A 23,267-nucleotide genomic window follows, 5' to 3' on the forward strand; every position below is an offset into this window, starting at 1 on the left:
TAGGACAAGGAAGGGGTGGGGGCCAGGCAGGCACCCCCCTCTCTAAGCCGAGTCAGCTCGCTCTCGGGCAATTGCTTGGTATTGCCCAGTCCTCTTCACAAACTGTTCAGTTCCTCGAGAAGTTGCCACAGCCTCCTCACTCATTAACCCTCAACTAATAAGGAGACTTACCTGCTTAGCAATGGCAGGACTTGTGATCAGGAACACGGTGACTAATTTCGGCCTGCACTTGCCTCACATGGGCTGCCCCATGTCCTCATTCCCAAGAGCTTGGGGTTCAGGGGCAAACAGATGGGGCTGGGGTGAATGCCGACTCCCCTGCTCCAATTGTGCCCCCTTGGACAAATGAACAAGTTAATGACTTCGCCTCTCTGGCCTCCTCTTCCCCATGACATCTGCTCATAACTCATGGGCTCGCTGGGCACGGGTTAGGGACATGGGCTAGGGCCAGTGACGTGCTCACCAGGGCTTGGCCGATAGTAGGTGCGCTAATAATTTGGGGTTCAAAAAAATAAGTACGAATGAGGGCTTTCTGGGAGTAGAACACCAAGGCAGGTGCTCAAGATGACAAGGAGGTGGCCGTGAGGTGCAGCAGTGGCACTGAGCAGGACCAGCCCTGGCTTACTGGCTGGCCTCCCCTGCCCTGTGGGTGCTTCACTGTGGGTCCCTTCCCACCTGCCTGCCCAGTGGCAGCCCCGTATCCGGGACAGGGACACACTCCCATTTGTCCTGCTGGCCCCTGCCTGGCCCAGGCCAGGCCCACTGGTAATGCTCAGAGGCAGTTGGTTGATTGCACTGAGCCCCAGGTCTACCTCTCAGCCGCTCCCAAGCCTCACTGTCCCAGCCAGCATAGGAAGAGGACTGAGCTTGGTGACGGAGATGATCTGGGCCTACCATGTGCCAGACACTGAGGTGTGGGCAGAGAGGGGATGAAGACCCAGCCCTGTCCTTAGGAAGGGGGAAGGACAAAACCGCAGGTCAATACCGAGGGAGGAGACAGGGCAGGGCCCGGGAGGGCAGGTGGCAGGGGAGGGGCTTCAGGCAAAGGGAGGCAAGGAGGAGGGGGGCGGGGAGGTGGAGGCTAGGGGAGACTTTGCACCTCAGCCATTTGCAGATGGCACACAGGCTGTGTTGAGCTGTGGGGGCTCTGGGCATTGCAGCCTGGAAATTAACAGCAGGGTCTGTCTGCATTGAATATCCCCAGCGCCGGGACCAGGCATGACAAGGAACTAGATCACACTCCTGCCTGCCTAGAGGCCGTGGCGCTGGGGCGGTAGCCTCCCTGACCCCTATGGCACTGGTGTGGAAGACACAGGGGGCAGGTGCAGGCCAGGATGGAGACTGGTGGACCAGGCCAGAGCCGCTGCCAAAGCAGAAGCGCTCAGGACCCCAGGCTGCAGGGCGGGGAGATACTAGAGAGGCCAGACAGGAGGTGGGGTGGTGAGGAAGGGGAGACCAGAGCGCTACCTGTCCGAGGCCTGGCAAACAGGTGGCCACGGGAGTCATCGGGAGCTTGCAGGTGGAACGCCAGGCACCTGGGGAAGGCATGGAAGTTTGCCTGGGGCTGCTGCTTTTAAGCCCACCTATGTGGGGAGAGGGTGCGTCACCTCAAGAGAGAAGGCACATGGCACCCAGAAAACAAACTCGAAGACCACCATTCTCATTATCCGAATGTGATATCGGACTTTATGGCACGGTTGGGTGCCAAACTGTAGGACCCAATGGCAAGAGCAGCTGGTGCCCCATTCCGGCCTGCTCCCTTCTGGGCTTTGGGGCCACAACCCCAGAGGCCCCTTCCTCTCTGCGGGTGCTGTGATTCCCACTGAGGGACAGGCAGTGATGAGACCTCCATCCTCCCACTCTCACCTACCCGTTATTCTCAAGGGTCCAAGAAGCAGCAGGCATCTCTTTTTCCCACTGAGGCACATGTGAGCTGGGGGAGTGTGGGAGATAGGAACCGGGAAGCAAGTGAGTGCCAGCGGTGGGACAGGGCTTCCCCCTCTTCACCTGTCACTGGAGGGACATGGGCCTGCTACTTTTGAAAAGCCAGTCACAGCTGGAAGAAGACACAGACACACCCCAACCTAGGGGCTAGGCCTCAGCTTCGGAATGTGACAATTTATTTGGGGGGTAAAAGAGGCTTTTCACCCCCCTTTCCTGGCGTTGATACAATATTGAAGAGCAGCAGAACAAACGTACAAGACAGAGTAATCGGCACAGACCCACCCCTCCCCCGGAACCGCCGAATCCAGAATGGAGCCCAAACCCACACCCCCAACTAAGCGTCTTCTCCACAGGGGGAGGGGCAGGGTGGACTGGGGGACCTGCCCCCCATGCTGGGGCGGCACCTCCGTTTTCCATCTCCTGCCAACCCCACTCTTTTCCCATCTTTGACCACTGGAGGCAAAGTTTAGCCAGCTGGGAGCTGGATGGTTGAACCACATACAAAGGCAACAACACTTCATTTTAAAAATGAGAGAAAAAAGAGACAGTGCCCCTCCCCAAATATAGAGCTATATATGTATATTTTATATATATAGAATTCATTCGTGCACAATTCATTAAATGAACGTCTCAAAAATTAAAAAAATTATAAGATACGTATTTCTTTAGGCCTTTGTGTTTTTAAATTAAAACCAACAAAAAGAAGTCTCCCTCTCCACTCCACCCAGCAGCAAGGGCAGCCGGAACGCTTCGCTCCAGCTACCCGGCCTCCCGCAAGAGGGTTCCCCCATGAGACCGTTAGTCTCTCTTTGCCTGGCTGACTACCTGCATACAGTAGGCACTCACTGCTGGAGTGAGGCACTGACTCCTCCAAAGATTGCAGGGGGCGGAGGAGGGAACCACGAAGGCCTGGGAGGGGGCATCTTTGGCCCCCACTAACCATCTCCCTATTTCTGCATCCTGGTGACCGTCAGCAAGAGATGAGTCGGGGAGACCCTCTCCTGGAGTTCTAGCCCCTAATTCTGGGCTTTCTATATGAGAGGACATGCAGATAGGGAAGAAACTAAAACCTTTCAATGTCTTCCTTTTTTCTTTAAAAGTGTTTCCTCAAACCATCCCCGTCCCAAAGAGGCCGCCTTGGGCAAGTGCATGGGAGCCCGGAAGTGGAACTGACCAGGTGGGGCTCCACTGTCCTGTGTGGGCGAAGTGCAAAAAAAAAAAAAAAAAAAAAAAAAAAGAAAGAAAGAAAAAAGAAAAACAAAAGAAAAAAGAAAAACCACCACAAACCAAAACAACAAAATGACACAGAAGAGTGGGCAAAAGGGGGATGTGTCCTCTTGGGTCCCCATAGGCCAGAGAGGCTGGTAGCAGTCCAGCCCCCTGGCCAACCCAGCTCCCTGTTGGGGCTGACCCTCCAGCCTTGGGCGGGCCCACCGGCCTGGCTCTCCTCCAGGACCTCCTGGCTCAGGGGCTCGAGGCCAGTCTTGTGCTGGCTCCAGGGCCTGGGCCCTGCCTTTTAAAGGGCTTTTCCCCATAGGCCAAAGCATCCTGGGCCCCAGTCCCTGCCGCATTCCCCCAGTGAAGCAGCTGCGCTTCTCCAAAACCATTTTCACCTCTTCAAAAAGGGGCCATCCCCCCAACTCTGTCCACCTCACACTGAAGTTGGGGACTTGATCATCACCTCTTCCCAGATCATAGGAAGGATGAGGCTCATTTTGACCTTGACCCCTTTGCAGGGTGAGAACAAAGAGGGGTTGTGGGCAGCTGGGGGCCCCAGTACCAGCAACCTTGACCCCCCACCTGGTACTGGGCAGCTGCTCTGACACCAGCAGCGCTTTCTGAAGAGGGCTTGCTACCCAATACACCCATTTCACAGAAGGGCAAACTAAAGGTCAGAGTGGGCACCCAGACAGGGATGGGTCCCAACTTACCGTCTCAAACCAGAGACACCAGACCTCACCGGTTTCCTATGATACTTGGGTGGGGAGGGGGCGCACTTAAGGGGAGATGACGGATGCCCCAACCAATATTGAACGTAGGAGGAGATTGGGCTTTGGGGGTTATTTCACATACAAAAATAAAGCAAACCAGATTGCAACTTCTGCTTGGTAATTAGGCAAATGGAAAGCAGCAAGGGTGGACGAGGGGCCCATGGAGGCTGATCTCCCAAGGGAGGCCGATCCGTGCAAGTGTGTGGGAGGCGGGGGTACTAGAGAGGGGAGGAAGGAGGCTCCACTCACCCTCGGTCCCATCCACTCGGGCCCCCATGGGCACTGCCCACCTCAAGGCGGTGTGCCTGGTGCCTCTTCATGCACCAAGGCTGGCCCGGGCTGCTCCACTTGGAGCTCAGGCCAGCAGAAGCAGACCACCTGTGGCAAGGGAAATGCATTCCCTCTCCCCAGCCACCCCCAGGGGCCCAGCTTCTTGCCTCCTGAAGCCTGCATCCCCTTTCAGGCCAGGGAGGCTCAGAGAGGTTGTGGGCTTTAGGGTGACCCGTGGGGAGGGAGGTCTCCCCCATAGGGTGGCGGTGGTGGGGACCAGATGGCCCAACAACTGGGAAAGGAACAGAAGGGGGCAAGAAACCAAACTGCCCACTCACCAGCCCCCTGGAGAAAATCACCAGTGACAACCCCCACCCTCCCAAACCTCAGCTTGCCGGGACCTGCAGCTTGGGTTAGCTCCCGGGGGCCCGCTGTTGTCCTTCCCTTTGAGCAAGCACGGGTGTGGAGATCTGGGTCCAGGCCCTCTCCACAGTGCCTGCGATGCCAGGGGACCTGCCAGCTGGGCCCAGGCCTCCGCCCCATCCTGACATTGCCACCTCACCTGTGCAATCACTGCGTTACTATTTTTTCTTAAATAGCTCTTTCTCCCCCGCCACCCCCCCATAGGAATCCCACAATATTTTTTTCTATTTCTTTTTTTTTTCCTCTTTTTTTGTTTTTGTTTTTTTGCAAAACTAATTCTTTCACTTTCCTGTCATAAAATCACCTCTGAAAACACAACTTCTTTACAAAAAAGTCACGAATGACACGAACTCTCAGGAAAACACATTTCTATGGTCTCTGGAAACACCTGTAACTGGCACCCAGGTGGTCACTCACCTGGGGGAGGGGGTCAGGGGGAAATCACCTCCAAGGACAGAGGAGAAATACCAGCCCTTATTTGGGCGAAAAGCCAATTGGCACTTGGACGGCCACAAAGCCAACACACAGGGCAGGGTAGGGAGGGGCCGAGGAGTATCAGCCCCCGCCCCAACCCTGCGAGGGTCCCCGTTCTACATCCCGGGGAGGGGAGGGCTAGGGCCACGCTGTGGGCCCTGGCAGGGAGATTGGGAAGGAAGGCAGCCTCCCATTCTTAGGACCAAAGGCGCTAGGGTTCTGATCGGCCTCCTGCCAACGTGCTTCTGAGGGAGGGGCCCATGGCAGCACAGCCAGGAAGCCAGCTCCAGCCACGCCTGGAACACGCCACCCACGCACAATGGAGACCCGGGAAGTGGCCCAGGGCTGGCCAGCGGGGCCCCGGTCCCAATTCTGGGACCAACACCCTCATTCTCCTGGAGAACACAGACCCTCTGGTCTCCCCTTTGCCTGCCTGCCCTCCCAGGGCCTGGCCTAAGGCTGGGGCTGTGGCCTCTGCCACTGGCACGGGTGCCTCAGCTCCCAGGCAGCAGAGGGAAACAGAAGCTGCCCAGGACACGGGAGCCTCCTTTGCTTCAGGCAGGCTGGGCTGTGAGAAAGCCTCCGTGGTCAGAAGCAAAAGAGGGGCTGGGACAAGCCGGGAGGCCCTCGGGAATGGATTCTTCAGCATCCTCCCCAAACACCCGGAGGAAGAGGGAGCTTGGAATGGGGTCTCCCTCTCTATCTCGGTCCCCACCATGATGTGAAGTGAAGGTCCGACAGGTTGGGCTGACCACCCTGAGGAGGGCAGGGGGGTGGGGGGCACGGTGCCCCCAGCACACCTGGGCCAGGAGGGGAGGCCTGGTGACTTCCACAGCAAACCTCCAGACCCAAGCCTGGTCCCCAGGCCTACTGAGGCGAGAGGCAGTCCAGGCCTTCAATGCCCCTGTTCAAAGGAACTGTAAAGGGTGCCACCCGGCAGCCTGGGGCCTAGCACCCAATGCATGTATGAACCCACGGACAAACACAGCGAGTGGGGCAGACGCACAACTGGAAGTTTCCACGGCAGGTTCTCGTAGCACCTTTGGTCAAGAACTGAAGGGGCCTTTAGATGCGGGGAGGCTGTGGCCAGGCGCACCCTCTGCCAGTTCCTCCCACCGTTGAGGGGGTTAGGAAAGAGCCAGGGCTGGGGCAGGGCATAGGGGGTCTACTTAGGCCTCGTCCAAAATCGAGCAGGGAAGACCCCGCCCTGGCCCAACTTCTGATGCCCTGGCTGATGTGGAGGGAGGAGCCGAGTCAGGCCTCATCCTTGGCCTCTGCCTGGGACTTTGCCAAACAGGCAGGAAGCCCTCCTCCTGCCTAGGCATCTGCAGGAAGGAAAGGGACTGTGTCCACCCTCGGTGGGGGGCTCCTAAGGGCCCCACAGCTGCCAGGTTAGCACCGAGAAATCAGACGCCGCACAGGAGAGCAGGAAGCAAGCTAGAGAGACAGGTGGGATGTGGAAGGGGCAGAGGAACCCTAGTTTCTAGGGCTTTCCAGAAACCACCCAGTGGGCTACCATGCATGGGCAGGGGGTGTGCCCTTCCCCTGCCCCATTCCAGGGTGGCCCCTACCCCCGGCTTTCTGGGACCCCAACTACCCAGCCCCATCCCTGGGTCAACACCGAGCCATTTGAGACAAGCAAAGCACAGGGAGAGAGGGCTGGGGGCAAGGGTGGGGTGGGAGCAAGAGTATGACTTCGGGCAGGAGGGCCCCCCCAAGCCCCCCTCCTTGGTGGAGCCCCCTCACTTGCTCGCCCCAATGCTGCCACCGCCCCCAGCGGCGCCTGCTACCCCAGCAGCCACCTTCTCGAAATCCTCAGGGTTGCAGAATTCCTTGATTGTGACCGTCAGGAGGTTGCTGGTGACATCGGTGACGACCACATTGGAGCAGGGTGACATCTCGGGGCGCCAGTCCCCAGCCTCGGGCTCGGAGGAGGCACCGGCGGGCTCAGGGGCCGTGGGAGGTGCCGGGCCGGCAGCAGCTGTGACCTCAGGCGGTGCCCGCTTGCTGGTGGCTGCCGACTCGGGAGGGAGGGACAGGTCGAGCACCTCCGGCTCGCGCCAGCTGGGGGCGGATGGGCTCACGGTCTCGGGGAGGAGCTTGGGGGGCGTGTCGTCGGGGTCAGAGGACTGTGGTGTAGGCGAGGGGCAGCCGGAGGAGCCAGAGCTGCGGGCGTCGTAGGGGGCGGCGGGGGCGGCCAGAAGTAGCCCAGGGCCCGGGGCTGAGGCCTCAGCCTTGCCGGGGGACGGGGCTACCAGGGGGGCGGGCGGAGGCTTGTACAGCGCAAAGGCGCCGAACTTCATGTGGCGGATCTGTGTACGCAGGACGCTCTCGCTGAACTTCTTGCTCTTGCCTATAACGCGGTTCCGCGAGGGGACTTTGGGGCGGGCCAGCGCCCCGGCCCCCTGCCCGGCGCCCCCGCCGCCAGCGCCCTTGTCGATCACCTTCAGGTTCAGGATGATGCGGTTCCGCTTGGGCTCCCGCGGCTTCACCTTGCGGTTGATGATGCGCACCGTCTCCGAGAAGGGCGAAATGGGCGGGCGCAGTCCGGGGCTGCCCCCCTGCGGGTCCGGGCGGGGCAGGGGACGGCGGGACATACGGTGGCAGCGGCGGATGTCCTTCTTGAGCCGGTGCACGGCTGCGCTGGAGTGCAGCTTGGGCGAGGAGGCACTGGCGCTCGGCTTGACAGAGAAATGCACATCACTGATGCGGAGGGCCTCGGCCTGGGCCCGCGCCTGCGGGCAGAGGGAGGGGTGGGTGGGACCTCAGGACTGCCCGCTGACCTCCCCTGGATGTCCCTACGCCAGCCAGCCCTAAGTAGAGCCTCTCAGCCAGCGATCCCGAGATCATTTAAGATAATCACTGGTCTTCATGACCTCGACTTAGAAAAGGAAACAGAGGTTCAGAGATGAAGCAATTTGCCTCTGACTCCAAGGTCAGAGTCAGGACACCCTTGTCCAGGCCCAATTCCAAAACTGTGTTTTTTCTATCACCCACCACCTCTGTTAGCTCCACAGAGGGCCCTGGGCCACTCCATGGCTGCCCTTGCTGACACGGAGGAGTGTCGACAATTGGGACACAGTGTCGGGAGGGCAGCCGTTTGCTCAGAAGCCCCTGCTAAACCCCTGCTCTGTGGCAGATCCAGCCCAAGTGGGGACTCCTCCACGGACTCATTCGTGGTGACAGAAAGGAGGAGGTGGGTCCTCCCTGCTCCCCCGCACCAAGTCCTGCTGAGCCACCATGTCCCCAATGCCCCGTACTCTCTCGCCTTTGAGCAGGCTGACCTCCGGCTCCAGCCTGTCTCCTCAGCTGGCCAGCACCTCAGCCACCATACTTCCCTGGATGGGTCTCATTTACTTGTCTGCCCAGTGCCTGGCTCAGAGTGAACTGGTACCAATGCATCCCAAAGCCTGGGCTGGAACCCAACCCGGTCAGACGTGAGTTTGGTGGGGACAGGCCTAGAAGTGGGCCCGACCACTGCCTATTCTCTGTGCCAAGATGGTCTGGGGCAGGATGATGGTGCAGAGGTCGTGGGCAGCCAGGAATACTGCCCCAGGCTCCCAGGCCTGTCCTTCCAGCTGTCCTTCCAGGCATGAAATCTCTTTAAAGCCACAGGGCTCTCAAGAGACCCCAGGTTCCGGTCCAACCCACCCGTTGTCAGATGCCACTAAATGGAGAGAGGCTAAGGGACTCCTAAGGCGATGTAAGCTGTCTGCATGGCCAGTCCTTTCTTTACTAAGGAAGGTACTGAGGCACCAGGCACCAGTTGCTTGGGGTTACAGCTGCACACGCACAGACTCTCCCCTGGAGAGCTGCCCTATCACAGGGAGGACGGTGGGCAGTGGGAATATGAAGTGATTTCGTGCAGCGAAAGAACCACAGAGCCCAGAGAAGCACAGACCCCAGGCTTGGAGAATGAAACATCAAAGCCCGGCCCTGACACCTAAGTAGGAAAAAGTCCTGGTCCTTACTGAGCCCTGACTGCACCCCAGACAGTTCCAGAGGCTGCGGTGGCCTGCTAAGACAGACAGATGGTAGAGGCAGAGAGTCCTCTGGGCAAGATCCCAGTGGTGTGAGAAGATGGCGAGGAGTCACAGGACTGAAAGCAAGGGCTGGGGACAGAGGCTGGGGTGTGTGTGGGGTGCCACAAGGGGCGTGGGTTTTAGAGATCCTACTGGGGCAGGGAGGCTTGTTAGGTGATGGCTGCCCTCAATCTAGGTGGGAGATGGTTGGGACCGAGAAGAAGGCCATGTCCCCACGGTTGGTCTGTGAGGTCCATGAGGGTGGGATCTGTTGTGAGGTCTCTCTACCTCCCACTCCCCACAGCATTGGATGCTTAACTAGTACCTGGAGGTAGCCCATATGCCTCTCAGACAAGACTAGATTACCATTTGATCACAACTCTCAGGAGAGATGTTTGCTGGCTTATTTGTTGGCTAAGCAAGGATGTCTTCATTTAGAACGTGGCGTTCACCCCCATGGGAGAAGGGACTGTGACTCCACGTGGTCCTCCCAGCCCAGGCTGGGGCCTCCTGGGGCTGCTTGGTTAACAGTCCCTTCCGCCACTAGGTGGCAGCACATGAAGCCGGGCCTGCCCATGCCAATGCTGCCAGCCCAGCTCCCAGGGATTGGGCCCCTCAGACCCCTTCCCACACAAAGGCAGGGAAAAGCCCAGGCTTTTTTGGCGTGGTAAGCAGACATTCTGCAGGTGCATCCCCACACTTTCTGACTCTCAGAAAGTGTTTACTCCCTCTGCAAACTGCCTGAGCTTCCTGACTTCTGAAATTATGCTTCCAAGAGTCCAGTGGTGACGGACTGTTCCTGGGGGAGGGGCAGAGTGTGGGCAAATGGCAGGCCCGGAAAGAAACCCTGGCTCAGTGAGTCTCCTTTCCTTATCTGCTGAACCATCACAGGGCCTACTACGGGCACTCCTATGATGATCAGAGAGTACATGGCACCTGCTCAGCACAGTGCCTGGCACGCAGCAAATAACTGAACAGACCTACCCATGGGTGGTGGACTTATAAGCAGTGATCTTTTTCCAATGTATGCTTGGCATACATTGACATTTCTTACTTTATACTTTCTATATATTATTATTTTTTAAAGGGTTTACCCTTCCTCTTCCTCCCCACATGGAGAACTCTTTGAAAGTGGGACCTGGGTCTGCCTGATGAATTAAAAATAACTGTAGCCAACATGCTTATTGCACCCTGACCAGGTGACAGGCATAGCTCTGTGGGCTTGGCAAGCACCGTAGATGGTGTGAAGGTTTAAGCACCTGAACTCTACCATGGCCTCTCCCCATGTCTGTGGGCAAGTTACTGGACACCTCTGGCCCTGTTTCCCCATGCGTGAAACAGGGAGGATGGAAGCTATCTCATGGGCTCCTGTTTGCTTCAGAGTAGTTCCTGGCAGAAAGCGCTGAGTGTAATTTGCTGACTCTGCCATACTGCCTCTCAGGGAGCCCCAGAACAATGTGTTCAGCCCAAGCTAATCTCCATAGCCCCTCACAAACATCCACATCACTCTCAGGCTACCTGTTTCTTAGGGTCCAGATAAAAAAGTCCTACTATCTGTGTCTCTATCCCCTGCCACGCCAACTCTGCAGCCTTCATAGTTTCCTGTGTGTGTCTGCCTTCCCCCTTTAACCTGACATGGACTACTCAAGGCACAAGATGAAGAAAAGGAGACAGGATGAAGCCAGGAAGCTGGACCTCGGGTAAGTCACTTTCCCTTCCTGGGCCTTGATTTTTTATCTGTGAAATGGGGATAATACTCCTTACTTCTTGGAACTGTTGAAAGAATTAAAGGAGATAATCCATGTGGGGGCTCAGCCCTGTATTAGGCCCACAGCCAGCTCAGGAACCAAAAGAACTATCAAGAAAAAAAGGCGTTCTGTGTATCAATGCTCATGGTCATACTCGCTTCGCCGCTAGAGGGTGCCCCAGCTGCACTGAGAGGCTGTCACACAGCCCACCAGCCTTCCAGCTGCTCCGCCCATCCCTCCCCAAGAGAAGCATCAGGGTTAAGGTTACTCCCTGGATCCCCTAGGATGTGCGTCGCTTGAGGGTGGGGGTTATAAAAATATGAAATTCTGGAAACCAACATTTCTTTCACTTCTGCTTCTCTTCTCCGAAAAAGAGTCCTCCCACAAAGTCACCGGCTGTCGGGTGGGAGGGGGCCCTGAGGCATCCGTAGCACTACAGGAAGACAGGGGGCCCACTGAGTCCCACCTGCAGCCGTGCCTGCCACCTAGGGCCATCTTGCCCTTCCTTTCCCAGACTCTGTTTTTCCTTGTCAAAATAAAATAAAAACCCAAATCCTCCAAGATGGCTTCCTCTGGAAGTTCTTCCCTCCCTAGCAGAGACTAATATGCTATGCTCTCACTCCCACATCCCCATCCCCCAGAAATGGCCGGGAGTGGGGGGAAACTGAGGCTCAGAGCCCTAAAGTTAGTGGCCCAGCCTGGGTGATAAATTCAAAGTAAAATGATTTGAGGTCAAATTCAAGTTGGATCCCCAAGAAAGGAGGGGAGCCATGAAGAACAAATCCTGAAAGACTGAACGGGGGAAGCTGGGGGCAGGGAGGCAGGTGGTCCCCCAAATCCTCTCCTTGTGCCCTGCCAGGAGGTGGGACCCCACTCACTCTCCCCCTGGGTTCCAACTCCCAGCACAGTCATAACAGCTCAAACAAATGCCCCCTTCCCATGGGCATCCCCCACCTGCCTCAGCCACCCCCTTTCCTGGAGCCCTAAAGGCATCCCCAGCCCCTGGTTTCAACAGGGAGGATTATCCCCAGTCCCAAAACCCTCTTGTTGAAGCTGATGCTGGCTGAGGCCTGCCATCAGGGGCTTCTGGGGGGGCTCACAACCACCCCCTGCCCAGCTGGGGCCCCTCTGAAAAGGCCGGCCCGCTTGGGCGGCCGCGTATCTGTCCCTCCCTTCCAGGCCCCGTGCTGTGCCGGGGCTGGGGGCCCGAGAGGGGGATGCTGCTGGGGCTGGGCCAGGTTACCTTCAGGAGGAAAGTTTTGGGTTTGGGTCCCCTCTTCTTGGGCCCATACAGCTCACGCTCCCTCTCCCTGCGGCCGAAAAACACCAGAGGTTAAAAAGAGCCCCTTCCCGGGCCCCACTCCGCGCTGCCCTCCCCGGCTCTCCCGCTTCCCCGCGCGGCGCCCCAGCCGAGCCTCGGCCTCGCAGCCCCTGCCAGCTTCCCCAACAACTCACTTTTGTTCGAAGGCTGCAATGAGCCGCGAGTCCAGGATGTTCTCCTCGGGCTCCCAAGTGCTGTACCTGCCGAGTCACAAACGCACAAAATCAGGATGAAGACCAGAGAGGGACAGGCACGCGGCGAGAGCAAGAGCGCGCACCCCCACCCCAGGCCCCGGTGCCCGCTGCCTCCCCTCCCGCGACGCCCCCGGACCCCGCGACACTCACTTGATCGCCCACCCCTTCCATTTCACCAGGTACTCGATGCGTCCCTGAAAAACAGAGGGGAGAAAAACGGGGGTGGGGGTGGGGAGGATGCGGGGACGCGAGGAGGCGGCGGCGCGGGGCTGGGCGAGGGAGCCGGGCTAGCGGGACCGCTTCGCCCCGAGGGCCCCCGGCCCCGGCCCCGGCTGCGGACAGCGGCGGCCCGCCCCGGGCGGCGGCTCACCTTTCGGATCCGCCGTTTGATGATGGATTCGGCCGCGAAGACCCGCTCGCCCACTGCAGACAGCTCCATCTTGCTCAGCGGCACCCACAGCCCATAATACTCCCTGCGCCCGCGGCCGGTGCGGCACCGCTCGCGCACGCGCCGCAGCGCCCAGGCCCCGGCGGGCGGGAGCGCGGCGGGGCGCGCGCTCGCGTTCCAGCTGCGGGCCGTCACGTGATCCTCGCGGCTGGCGCGCGGTTGCCAGGACCTCCCCCTCCCCCGGGGCGGTTGCTAGGGAAAGTCGGCGCTCGCGGGGCGGGGGCGCGCGCTGGCTCTTAAAGGGGCCGCGCGGGCGGAGGGAGCAATTGCCGGCCGACCCGATGGGTGCCCGGCTTGTGGGCACGCTGCGGCCTTACGCTTATCACCCCCCCTCACATCTTGCCGGCGCCCGATCGCTGACACCCTCTCCTTGCCTCTTAATCCCCACGCGAGTCTCGCCAGGCCCCGGGCGGAGAAGGGCTGTGGAGCCCGAGTCTCGCCGCCACCGCGCATCTCCCGCAGCAGCCTGCAAACAGTTAAATATGATGCAGCAGAAATGCAGTTGCTGTTGCCTTGCCAGGCCTTGCGGGAATTTCTTTAAAACATCGCCCCCCACCCATTATTTATGTATTCGTGGGAGGGTGGTTTTGTAACCAGTTCAGAAGAGTTAAAACAAAAACGCCACCGCAGGAAGGGGGTGTGCGGCGAATGGGGCCGAGGAAGGCCGGAGTGACCGTGGGCATCTGTCTGCGGCCGGGGTCTCGGGCGGCACCTGTCCTCGCCCAGGAGACCGGGGAGGATTCGGCGGGGCCGGTGTGGCAGTGGGGGAGGGAGAGGGACCGCGGGCAGGAACGGGCTCCCCGCACTCCGCCTTGGGCCCACAGCGGGTCATCATCTGGTCATTCGGCAGAAACCGCCTTCGCGGTCATATCTGTGTTTTCCGATTCCCAGCACCCCTCCCGGCCCCCCGACCTGGCCGCGTCCCTCTCCCCGCCCGCAGCTGCGCGAAGCTTCCGCCATTGCTCTGGGGAGCCCAGATCCCAGCTTCCCACTTGAGGAGGGGCGGGGGATCGAGCTGGGGCTGTCCAGGAACGGACACACAAAAAATAGCCCTGCCGCGCAAAACGCTCCACTTTTTAAATGTTGAAATTACTTGAACTTTATTTCCCATTATGTTAGTAGTCTTGTTCTTTGTAAAACAATTTTAAAAATACAGATAAAACAACTGTCCATAACCCCCATAAAACCATTGTTAACATCTTCACCAATCTTCCAGCCTCTGCTCTATGCGTACATAAACTCACGTACACCTATGTATGTATGTATATACATACACATACACATTGTCTGTAGATTTAATTTTTTAACAAAATGGGATCACGCTATTCACACTGTTCTGGAATCTGCTTTTCTCCCTTAATGCTATAAAGTGGACATCTTTCAGTGTCATTAAATACAGATTTCACCATCCTTCCAGTGACCACCTTGGGGCTGAGATGGGGTGGGGAGGAATGGGGATTGTGAAGAGTCAGGGTTGTGTCTTGCGAACATCAATGGCTCATTAGGAAAGATTTTTGCGTTTCTGTGCTACAATGCCAATTCTTGGGTTTCAAATCCACCATAGCAAAATGTTAGTCTTTTTCTCCCAGCAGATTTGTCCAATTATTACCTTGAGAGAAATCCCTCTCCTCACTTAAAATCAGTATGTTCCAGGGAAACAGCTATTTGCTGGCCAGCCCAAGGTGAGCTGCTGTGGTAAAAATAGAAATGTCCTCCTGGGAGATGTGGGTGGTGGTGGGTGAGCAGGTGAGAGGAGTGGGTATGACAGTGTGTGTGTGTTCAGGCTGACGGAGACAGGCGGGGGATGAAGCAGGTGAGTCCACTTGTTGATTCATTCAGCAGTGTTTGTGAGCCCTTGTGAAGCACCAGGCTTTGTGTGAAACCATCAGGAAACAAAGGTGCCCCAGGCTGAGGAGCTGTCAGTGGAGTGAGAACGGCACCTGTCACACAGTGTGACTAATGCTAGAATAAAGGTGTAGGAGTTTCGTGTTGCTGCTCTCACAAATTAACACAAGCTCAGTGGCTTAAAATGACTCACATTTGTTATCTGATGACTCTGGAGGCGGGAAGTCCCAAATCAGTGTTACTGGGCCCAAGTGAAGGTATCCTCAGGGCTGGTCCCTTTTTGGAGGGTCAAGGAGAGTATCTGTTCCGTGCCTCATCCAGCTTCCAAATGTTGCTGGCATTTCTTGGCTCATGGCTTCATCACTCAAATCTCTGTTTCCACGATCCCTTTGCTCACTTCCTGCTTCTTTCTTTCTTTTGTTTTTGTTTTTGAGATGGAGTCTTGCTCAGTCACCCAGGTGGGAGTGCAGTGGCACAATCTCGGCTCACTGCAACCTCTGCCTCCCGGTTTCAAACAATTCTCCCAGTCTCAGCCTCCCAAGTAGCTGGGATTACAGGCATGCGTCACCACACCCGGCTAATTTTTGTATTTAGTAGAGATGGGGGTTTCACCATGTTAGCCAGGCTGGTCTCGAACTCCTGACCTCAAGTAATCCACCCGCCTCAGCCTCCCAAAGTACTGGGATTACAGGCGTGAGCCACCGCACCTGGCTTCTGCCTCTTTCTTTTAACAACACTTGTGATTACATTGGGTCTGCCCAAATAATTGAGAATGATCTTTCCGTCTCAACCTCAACTTAATCAGATTTGCAAAGACCCTCTTACCATAGGGTAACATGGATGGTAAGTAAGGTATCCTATCCACAGGTTCTGGGGGCTAGGGGCTAGGACACGGACATCTTTCGGGGAGGCATTATAAGCCTGCCACAAGAGTCTGTACAGGATGTCTTGGGAGTGGACATAGGGGAGCAACCTACCACGTGGAGGTGAGGCTGTGAGGGCTTCTCAGAGGTGGAGACCTCTGATTTGGGGCCGGAAAGACAAATGGGAATTGGCCTACAAGTGAAGAATGGGAAGGGTGTCCCGGGTGGAGGTGTCAACTTGAACAAGCACATCAGAGCCTGAGAGTGTGTTTTGGGGATGGGAAAGAAGTCTGCTATGGCATGGGTTGGGGCAGTACGGCAAAGGATGGCAATGGAAAGATGGGTTGGACTGAACTTGGGAAGGGCCTTGAATGCTGGGTAGGTTTGGACTTTGTCTCAGGCAGTGGGAAGCGTGAGGGAGTTTTGAGTAGAGGAGGGATGTGATGAGATGAAGTGGGAATTCGGGCAGCCAGGCTTGGATCCCTTTTCTTTTGGTAATCGTGTGATGTTGTACAAGTCCTTTTCTACTCTCTGGATCTTAGTTTTTCAACTTCAAAAATGGGGGAGGAACTGGCCCTTTTTCATGCTCTATATTTTTTGGCAGGTGACTTTTTTTTTTTTTTTTTTTGAGGTGGAGTCTCCCTTTGTTGCCCAGGCTGGAGTGCAGTGGCGTGATCTTGGCTCACTACAACCTCCGCCTCCCAGGTTCAAGTGATTCTCCTGCCTTGGCCTCCTGAGTAGCTGGGACTATAGGCGCGCCACCTTGCCAGGCTAATTTTTGTATTTTTAGTAGAGACGGGGTTTCACTATGTTGGCCAGGCTGGTCTCAAACTCCTGACCTCGTGATCCGCCCGCCTTGGCCTCTCAAAGTGCTGGGATTACAGGCGTGAGCCACTGCGACAAGCTGCAGGTGACTCTTTTGAAAATCTGTTATTTCCAAGTCATTCCAAAATTTTGGAGAGATTTATGGACTTCTCACATGCTTTTCCCTTGTTTATGAGCACCTGGAGAAGATAGTCTCTATTCTATGAGAAAAAAATCCCCTCCACCTCTGACAGTCTATAGTTCTGAGGTTTGGTGTAACATCACAAAGGAAAAAAATTGATCTCTTAGCCTGTGTGAGTTGTTGCCCAGACAGAGGGCAAATCAGTTTCCTATGAAATTGTGAACCAAAACTATCTGAGACAAGTCTCAATCAATGTAGAAAGTTTATTTTGCCAAGGTTAAGGACGTGCCCGTGACATAGCCTCAGGAGGTCCTGATGACTTGTACCCAAAGTGATAGGGGTATAGCTTGGTTTTATACATTTTAGGGAGATATGAGACATCAATCAGTACATTTAAGATGTACATTGGTTCAGTCTGGAAAGGTGGGGCAACTCGAAGTGGGGGCTTCCAGGTGGTAGGTAGATAAGAGACAAAAGGTTGTATTATTTTGATTCTGATCAGCCTTTCACTGAGTACACAATTTACATGTGAGGAGGGTAGAGGAAGAGTCACTTATGCCTCAGTCTGTCTCAGTGAATCTGCATTTTTACATAAGCAACAGGCGGAGGAAGCAATCAGATATGCATTTGTCTCGGGTGGGAAGAGGGATGACTTTGAGTTCTGTCCTTGTCCCGCATCTGTTAAGATAAACTATCAATTTACATTGCCAAGGTGAAATTCAACAGAACTGTTTTAGGGTAAAGATGCTGAGGCCCACATGGAAATTCCTTGGGGGCAAACTCTGAAGGAGATATGTAGTTTTTTAATCTTTGTAACTATCTTATTTGGGGAAAAAATGGGAGCCAAGTTTGCCTGATGCAGTCCCCAGCTTGACTTAGTGATTTTTTGGGTTCAAATTTCAACCCCAAAAAAGGCAACAACTGTCTTTCTTTTTTTTTTCTTTTCTTTTTTTGAAATGGAGTCTCGCTCTGTCGCCCCGGCTGGAGTGCAGTGGCGCGATCTCGGCTCACTGCAAGCTCTGTCTCCTGGGTTCATGCCATTCTCCTGCCTCAGCCTCCCGAGTAGCTGGGACTACAGGTGCCCACCACCACACTCGGCTAATTTTTTGTATTTTTAGTAGAGACGGGGTTTCACTGTGTTAGCCAGGATGGTCTCGATCTTCTGACCTCGTGATCTGCCCGCCTCGGCCTCCCAAAGTGCTGGGATTACAGATGTGAGCCACCGCACCCGGCCAACAACTTTCTTTTTGGCTTAGTGATTTGGGGGTCCTGAGACTTACCTTCCTTTCACCAAAAAAACCTGTAGTACAGCAAACAAAAATTTAGTAGCTTAAAACACAAGAATCTATTATCTCTCATGATTCTGTGTTTGACGGGCACTTTGGATGGTTCTCTTTCCTGCTCTTGTATAGGGTAACTGGTGTGGCCACGGTCAGAGACAAGGCCAAGGCTTGATGTGTACATCTGGAGTCATAGTACTGGATGCTGGCTGGGCCTCTCTCTCCTCGTGGTCTCTCATCATTCATAGTCTACTTCAAGCTTGCTTATGTGGTTCCAGGAGTCACACAAGAAGGTGAGAGACACACAAAGCTTCTTAAGGTCTTGCCTTGGAACTTACACAACATTGCTCCCTCTGCATTCTGTTGGTCAAAGCAAGTCACAAGGTATGGTGAGCAGATTTCAAGGCCACTAAGGTTCCTGCCTCCCCCAACCCAGTGTACATGTCCTGTATAATCCCCTCCCTTTGAGCATGAGAGGGACCTAAGGAACGTGTTGGGATTTTGCTCCCATGATTAGGTTATATTGAAAAAACAGGCCGGGTGTGGTGGTTCCTGCCTGTAATTCCAGCACTTTGGGAGGCCGAGGTGGGTAGATCACCTGAGGTCGGGAGTTTGAGACCAGCCTGGCCGATATGATGAAACCCCATCTCTACTAAAAATACAAAAATTAACTGGGCGTGGTAGTGGACACCTGTAATCCCAGCTACTGGGGAAGCTGAGGCAGGAGAATCACTTGAACCTGGGAGACGGAGGTTGCAGTGAGCCAAGATTGTGCCACTGCACTCCAGCCTGGGCAACAGAGCAACACTCTGTCTCAAAAACAAACAAACAAGGTTTTGTAGACATAATTAAGGTCCTTTAAGTTGACTTTGACTTATTCAAAAGGGAGTTTATCTTGGTCTGACCTAATCAGGCGAGCTCTTTGAAAGACAATCCAAGCCTCTCCCAAGAGGAAAGGTTGGAAGCAGTGGAATTGCGCTCCTGTTGACCTTGAAGAGGCAAGATGCCATGTTGTGGAGAGGGCCATGTGGCAGGAACGGTGGTGGGTGGTTTCCAGGAGCTGAGGACCTCAGTCCTACAATCACAAGGATCTGAATTCTGTGACTAGCCACTGAGCTTGGAGGAGAACTCTGAGTTTTCAGATGGGGATGTGGCGCCAGCTGACACCTGGATTGCAGCCTGTGAGACCCTGAGCAGAGACTTCAGTTAAGCTGTGCCTGGACTTCTGACCCACAGAAACTGAAATGATAAAGGGGTATTGCTTTAAGCAATCAGTGATAGAGCATAGCAAACTAATATATCAGGCCAGTCCAGATTCAGGAACAGGGAAAGAGACTCCATGCCTGGATGGGAGGAGTGGCAGGGTCACACTGAAAAGGGAACGCAGAGCTATTATTGTAATAATTTACCTCAAGGGTCCCTAGTTGGGACACAGCTCATGCTTAAAGCTGATGGGATCCCTGGGGCCAGACACTCCTTTCACAAAGGCACCTGCAGAATTCTGGGCATCTTACCTTTGTGACTTCTACCAGTTGGGTGTGGTTGGGACTCATGGGCTATGCCTCCATGTCCCTAGCATCAGACACATGTGGGTGCCTCATAAATATCTGTGGGACAAATCAAGGAATGAAGGTGCTGAACTGGGCTTTGCAGGGATGGGGAGTGAGGCCTTTGCCAAACAGAGTTTGTCTGCACCTGGGGCAAGGAGGGACTCAGGGATGGGAGGAGGTAGCTTTGTCCCAGGCTTCGACTGTCAGCCTGGCATGGTTGAGGCACAGAGTCTCTTAAGGCTGTGGACAGTGTCAGAATTGGGAAAGAGTACTTTAGCTCCAATCCCATTGAAGATCTATCCAAGTCCACTTTCCAGAATGGACTATCCCCTCCCTGATGCCAGAAGTCAGTGCCTTGAGCTTGGGACCACAGGCCACAGGCCTTCATTCTGTCCCTGATTTGAGGTCCTGGAGGGCTGGGGTGTGAGTTAGAATGTGGAGGGTGTGGCATCATCTGGACATTTAACTCAACACAGAGTCAACTCTGCACTTGTCTCCATCATTTAGAAAATGTAAAATGATTTTCTGCAGATGTCTTTATCACTATACACTGCACACTGCTGCAACTCAACCCCTTATGTGATTGTCTTAGTCACATGTAAGTGACTTATTAAGGAAGTGCTCCCAGGGGAGATTGCTAAGGGAATGAGTGAAGCAAGATAGGAAAGGGAAGGAAGCAAGCAGAGAGTAAGGTGTCGAGCTAAAGTCCTGCAGTGAGTGGCCCCAGCCTCACGCCTCAAGGGATCTGGAGAGTAAGTTATTCCTCAATATTTTCCCCCACCCACCAGACCCTGGTTACAGGCTGCAGGGCAAGGGTATTAGGTGGGGGGAATGTTGATCCCCCAGACACGTGCTGCTTTCTGCCTCTGTCTGCAAAGTGGCTTCAGTACCCTGGGGATGGCCTTTGGAAGGAGAGCTATAGATGCTGGCTGCTGGAGGAAAGGCACATGGGTGGGCTTGGGGGGACATAGAACAGGGACCCCTGGGGATCCGAGCAGGGAACAGATGTTACTGCGGAGGGATGAGACACAGCAGCTGAGTATGGTACTTTATAGGCTCTGCAAACTCCAAGCTGCTCCCACCCCAGGCCCTTGATCCTTGCTGTTCCCTCTACCTAGAACAGTCCCATCTTCTCCCAGGGGTGGCACGGTGGCTTCTTCAGTTCTTTCAATCTCTGCTCAGATGTTACCTCTTCAAAAAGATTTCCTCTGATGACCTTATGTAAAGGAGCCCCAACTCCTACCCACCACCCTCTCTCCCCATAGATGAGAAAGAAAAATAAAAACTCAGGACCCGAATTCACTATCTTCCGGACATGTCCTTGACCTTGGCAATATAAGCTTCTCAATTGATCGAGGCCTGTCTCAGACACTTTTTGGTTACAATGTCTATTTTTTCCCCTGGTCCTTAACACTATCTGGCGTTATAGGAATGGTTTGTTTAATATGACCATTTATTTAATGCCTGACTTCCTCACTAGACGCCAGGCTCCACAGTGGCAGGGACTTTGCCCATCTGGTTCCCACTTTTTCTCCAGTGCTAACACAGGGCCCTGCACACAGTAGGTATCCAATTCATATATATATATTTTCCAATTAATATTTGTTGGGTGTGCCATTGAAGGGCTTGTTAAGAGTAATTTTGACCATATAACATGTATAGGGATTCAGGTCCAGCAACTGCTTGCTGCATCTCTCTCCCCCTCTCTGCAATGGGCTCTGGGAATGCAAAGTAGAAAAGATGGGATTTCTGCCCTGGAGGAACTGAGATGCTTGAAGAGATGGATGTGCACACGGATGAATTTCAGCGGTGCAACTTTTCATCATCAACCTCTTTGAGCCTCAGTGTTCATCTGTAAAATGGAGATAATCATTCCTAGCTTGTAGAATTCTCATGAGGATAACAACATATGATATATATCAGCATCTGCAACTGTGTTGGGCACACAGCAAGTCTGCAGTGGTGGAAGTGTACGTTTATATATGCTCTGAGCCAGTTTATACCTCAAGAGAGATGAACATCACACACAACCCCCCCACACACACACGCACACAACGTATACACTTATATGTTTTTCTTCCACTGAAAGTATATTGGACCAATTCTAGAAATTGAAGCTGTATTGACCAAAAATAACAACAGCTAACACGTTGTACAGAACTCCTTATAGGGTTCATACCTATAATCCCACCACTTTGGGAGGCCGAGGCAGGAGGATCACTTGAGGTCAGGAGTTCGAGACCAGTCTGGCCAACATGGTGAAACCTCGTCTCTACTTAAAAAAAAAAAAAAAAAAAAATTAGCCAGGTATGGTGGTGGGCACCTATAATCCCAGCTATTCAGGAGGCTGAGGTAGGAGAATCTCTTGAACCTGGGAGGTGGAGGTTGCAGTGAGCCGAGACCGCGCCATTGCACTCCAGCCTGGGCAGCAAGAGTGAAACTGTCTCAAAAAGAAAAAAAAAAAAACTCATTATGTTTCAAGGACTCTTCTGAGAGCTTTACATACAGTATTAATAATTTATTTATTTATTTTTTCTTCTTTTCTATCTCTACCTGATTAGAGAAAAGGTATTAATAATTTGATCTCAAAAGGATCCTACGAGGTAGATGCTGTTGTTATTCCATTTTACTATTGAGGATACTGAGTTTCTATCCAAATGTGGAAGACTCAGAGGTGAATGAAACTTTTCTTCTTCCATTTAATGCCCTTCCCTTATCTCTTCCTGCTGCCCAACGAGTCCAGCCACATGATGCTATTTGACCTAGGAAGCTGTGGACAAAGAAGCCAAATACAGGAGTTCAGGGGACAGTGTGAGCCCCTGAACATGTAGAGAATAGAGACGTGTAGAGTTCCTTCTGAAACACTGCACTGTGAAATTCTGTGCCTCCGAAGACAGGCTCGCTATTTTTAGAAAGAGGGCAGCAGAGTCGTTGGAAATATGCCCGAATACGGTCATGATTGGGCAAGGGACACGGGAAACGCCAATTTTGGCAAAGGGATTATTTGGAAGTGCAGTTCTGACCAAGTCATTCCTCTGTTTAAGATGTTTCAACATTGAAGGAGCCAAAATATCAACAGTGAAAAAACCTCTTAGTGGCTGTTGCTGTCTCTAGAGGAAGCCTGAGCTCTTTCTCGTGGCAGAGCAACTCTTCCCCATGTCCCTACACCCTGTACCCTCAACCTGCACACCTTCTTCGTTGGGTCTCTTTGAACCACCTGCTGTTCCCGGGTGGTCCCCGCTTTTCCACACCTTTGTACCTTCACCTGGGATGCACCTATGCATCTTTCAAAACTCAGTTCTGGGGTCTCCTGTATGAAGCCATATCTGGCCCTGCCAGGTAGAACTGGCCAGCCTTCCTTTGCCCCATTTTGGTGTTTATAGAGCATCAAGAACACAGGAGAGTTCTTCCTGGTGACTTGCCACCTCCCTGCAAAGCATGAGCTCCCTGAGGGCATGGCCCCCTGTGCTGCTTGTTCCCTGGACAGGGCCTGACACTAGGTAGACAGTCAAGTAATATTTACTGGGCTTCAATCATATGCTTGTACTATTCTAGGAGCTGGGGACACAGCAGAGAACAAGACAGACAGAGTCCCTGCCCTTGAGAGTCTTGGATTCTTATGGGGGCAGCAGACAGACAACAAACACACAAGGCAAGATGATTTCAAGTCAGATATGTGTTGTGAAGAGGCTGAATAGGAATGCACAGTGGAGAGGAACAGGGCGCATGGGTGGGGTGCTCAGCATGGTGGCTGGGGCAGGCCTGTAGAGCAGCCACATCTGAGATGAGACCCACACCAGGAAAAGGAGGCAGCTGTATAGATCTGGGAGAGGAGGTTTCCTAGCAAAAGGCCCTGAGGCAGGGACACACCTGGCATATCTGAGGGACAGAAGGAAGCCAGCGGGGCTGGAGCCGAGTGGACAGAGAGAGTGAGGTCAGCGAGGGAGG

General features: G+C 54.3%; 1 protein-coding gene across 2 annotated transcripts, besides 12 other annotated features; it reads right to left on the reverse strand.

The window, feature by feature from the left end:
- Window positions 208-1,087: an enhancer, noted in NCBI's record as "H3K4me1 hESC enhancer chr22:39255577-39256456 (GRCh37/hg19 assembly coordinates)". NCBI's record gives its function as "activates a minimal SCP1, AML or CMV promoter by ChIP-STARR-seq in naive H9 embryonic stem cells {active_cell/tissue: H9 hESC(naive)}" and the evidence as "EXISTENCE:reporter gene assay evidence [ECO:0000049][PMID:30033119]".
- Window positions 2,058-12,852, reverse strand: CBX6 (chromobox 6). 2 transcript variants are annotated; one of them, NM_001303494.2, is made up of 5 exons: window positions 12,758-12,852; window positions 12,538-12,581; window positions 12,328-12,393; window positions 12,116-12,182; window positions 2,058-7,783 (listed from the first exon to the last, which is right to left on the reverse strand). In NM_001303494.2, the coding sequence occupies exons 1-5, from the start codon at window positions 12,824-12,826 to the stop codon at window positions 6,845-6,847; spliced, it is 1,185 nt and encodes a 394-aa protein (NP_001290423.1). In that variant the 5' UTR covers window positions 12,827-12,852; the 3' UTR covers window positions 2,058-6,844. The 2 variants fall into 2 exon arrangements, with proteins under 2 accessions (NP_001290423.1, NP_055107.3); NM_014292.5 differs by having other exon boundaries at window positions 2,058-7,837.
- Window positions 4,688-5,567: an enhancer, noted in NCBI's record as "H3K27ac-H3K4me1 hESC enhancer chr22:39260057-39260936 (GRCh37/hg19 assembly coordinates)". NCBI's record gives its function as "activates a minimal SCP1, AML or CMV promoter by ChIP-STARR-seq in naive H9 embryonic stem cells {active_cell/tissue: H9 hESC(naive)}" and the evidence as "EXISTENCE:reporter gene assay evidence [ECO:0000049][PMID:30033119]".
- Window positions 5,568-6,445: an enhancer, noted in NCBI's record as "H3K27ac-H3K4me1 hESC enhancer chr22:39260937-39261814 (GRCh37/hg19 assembly coordinates)". NCBI's record gives its function as "activates a minimal SCP1, AML or CMV promoter by ChIP-STARR-seq in naive H9 embryonic stem cells {active_cell/tissue: H9 hESC(naive)}" and the evidence as "EXISTENCE:reporter gene assay evidence [ECO:0000049][PMID:30033119]".
- Window positions 6,564-7,375: an enhancer, noted in NCBI's record as "H3K27ac-H3K4me1 hESC enhancer chr22:39261933-39262744 (GRCh37/hg19 assembly coordinates)". NCBI's record gives its function as "activates a minimal SCP1, AML or CMV promoter by ChIP-STARR-seq in naive H9 embryonic stem cells {active_cell/tissue: H9 hESC(naive)}" and the evidence as "EXISTENCE:reporter gene assay evidence [ECO:0000049][PMID:30033119]".
- Window positions 12,474-12,523: a silencer, noted in NCBI's record as "silent region_13734". NCBI's record gives its function as "represses an Ori minimal core promoter by ATAC-STARR-seq in GM12878 lymphoblastoid cells {active_cell/tissue: GM12878}" and the evidence as "EXISTENCE:reporter gene assay evidence [ECO:0000049][PMID:35858748]".
- Window positions 12,624-12,773: a silencer, noted in NCBI's record as "silent region_13735". NCBI's record gives its function as "represses an Ori minimal core promoter by ATAC-STARR-seq in GM12878 lymphoblastoid cells {active_cell/tissue: GM12878}" and the evidence as "EXISTENCE:reporter gene assay evidence [ECO:0000049][PMID:35858748]".
- Window positions 12,804-13,063: a silencer, noted in NCBI's record as "silent region_13736". NCBI's record gives its function as "represses an Ori minimal core promoter by ATAC-STARR-seq in GM12878 lymphoblastoid cells {active_cell/tissue: GM12878}" and the evidence as "EXISTENCE:reporter gene assay evidence [ECO:0000049][PMID:35858748]".
- Window positions 13,058-13,608: an enhancer, noted in NCBI's record as "H3K27ac hESC enhancer chr22:39268427-39268977 (GRCh37/hg19 assembly coordinates)". NCBI's record gives its function as "activates a minimal SCP1, AML or CMV promoter by ChIP-STARR-seq in naive H9 embryonic stem cells {active_cell/tissue: H9 hESC(naive)}" and the evidence as "EXISTENCE:reporter gene assay evidence [ECO:0000049][PMID:30033119]".
- Window positions 13,609-14,158: an enhancer, noted in NCBI's record as "H3K27ac hESC enhancer chr22:39268978-39269527 (GRCh37/hg19 assembly coordinates)". NCBI's record gives its function as "activates a minimal SCP1, AML or CMV promoter by ChIP-STARR-seq in naive H9 embryonic stem cells {active_cell/tissue: H9 hESC(naive)}" and the evidence as "EXISTENCE:reporter gene assay evidence [ECO:0000049][PMID:30033119]".
- Window positions 13,609-15,194: a biological region, named in NCBI's record as "BRD4-independent group 4 enhancer GRCh37_chr22:39269364-39270563".
- Window positions 13,995-15,194: an enhancer, noted in NCBI's record as "BRD4-independent group 4 enhancer chr22:39269364-39270563 (GRCh37/hg19 assembly coordinates)". NCBI's record gives its function as "activates an origin of replication core promoter dependent on BRD2, P300/CBP, MED14 and CDK7 cofactors, and independent of BRD4, by STARR-seq in HCT116 cells {active_cell/tissue: HCT116}" and the evidence as "EXISTENCE:reporter gene assay evidence [ECO:0000049][PMID:35650434]".
- Window positions 15,011-15,190: an enhancer, noted in NCBI's record as "active region_19023". NCBI's record gives its function as "activates an Ori minimal core promoter by ATAC-STARR-seq in GM12878 lymphoblastoid cells {active_cell/tissue: GM12878}" and the evidence as "EXISTENCE:reporter gene assay evidence [ECO:0000049][PMID:35858748]".

Source organism: Homo sapiens, chromosome 22, assembly GCF_000001405.40.
Source record: "Homo sapiens chromosome 22, GRCh38.p14 Primary Assembly".
Lineage (NCBI taxonomy): Eukaryota > Metazoa > Chordata > Mammalia > Primates > Hominidae > Homo > Homo sapiens.

Bases quoted from the DNA above. Each gene is read 5' to 3' on its own strand.
- CBX6 (NM_014292.5), bottom strand. From the start codon at position 12,826: ATGGAGCTGTCTGCAGTGGGCGAGCGGGTCTTCGCGGCCGAATCCATC. The intron at 12,582-12,757 runs GTGAGCCGCCGC...TCTGTTTTTCAG, and splicing joins TCAAACGGCGGATCCGAAAG to GGACGCATCGAGTACCTGGT. The intron at 7,838-12,115 runs GTAACCTGGCCC...CTCTGCCCGCAG, and splicing joins CCAAAACTTTCCTCCTGAAG to GCGCGGGCCCAGGCCGAGGC.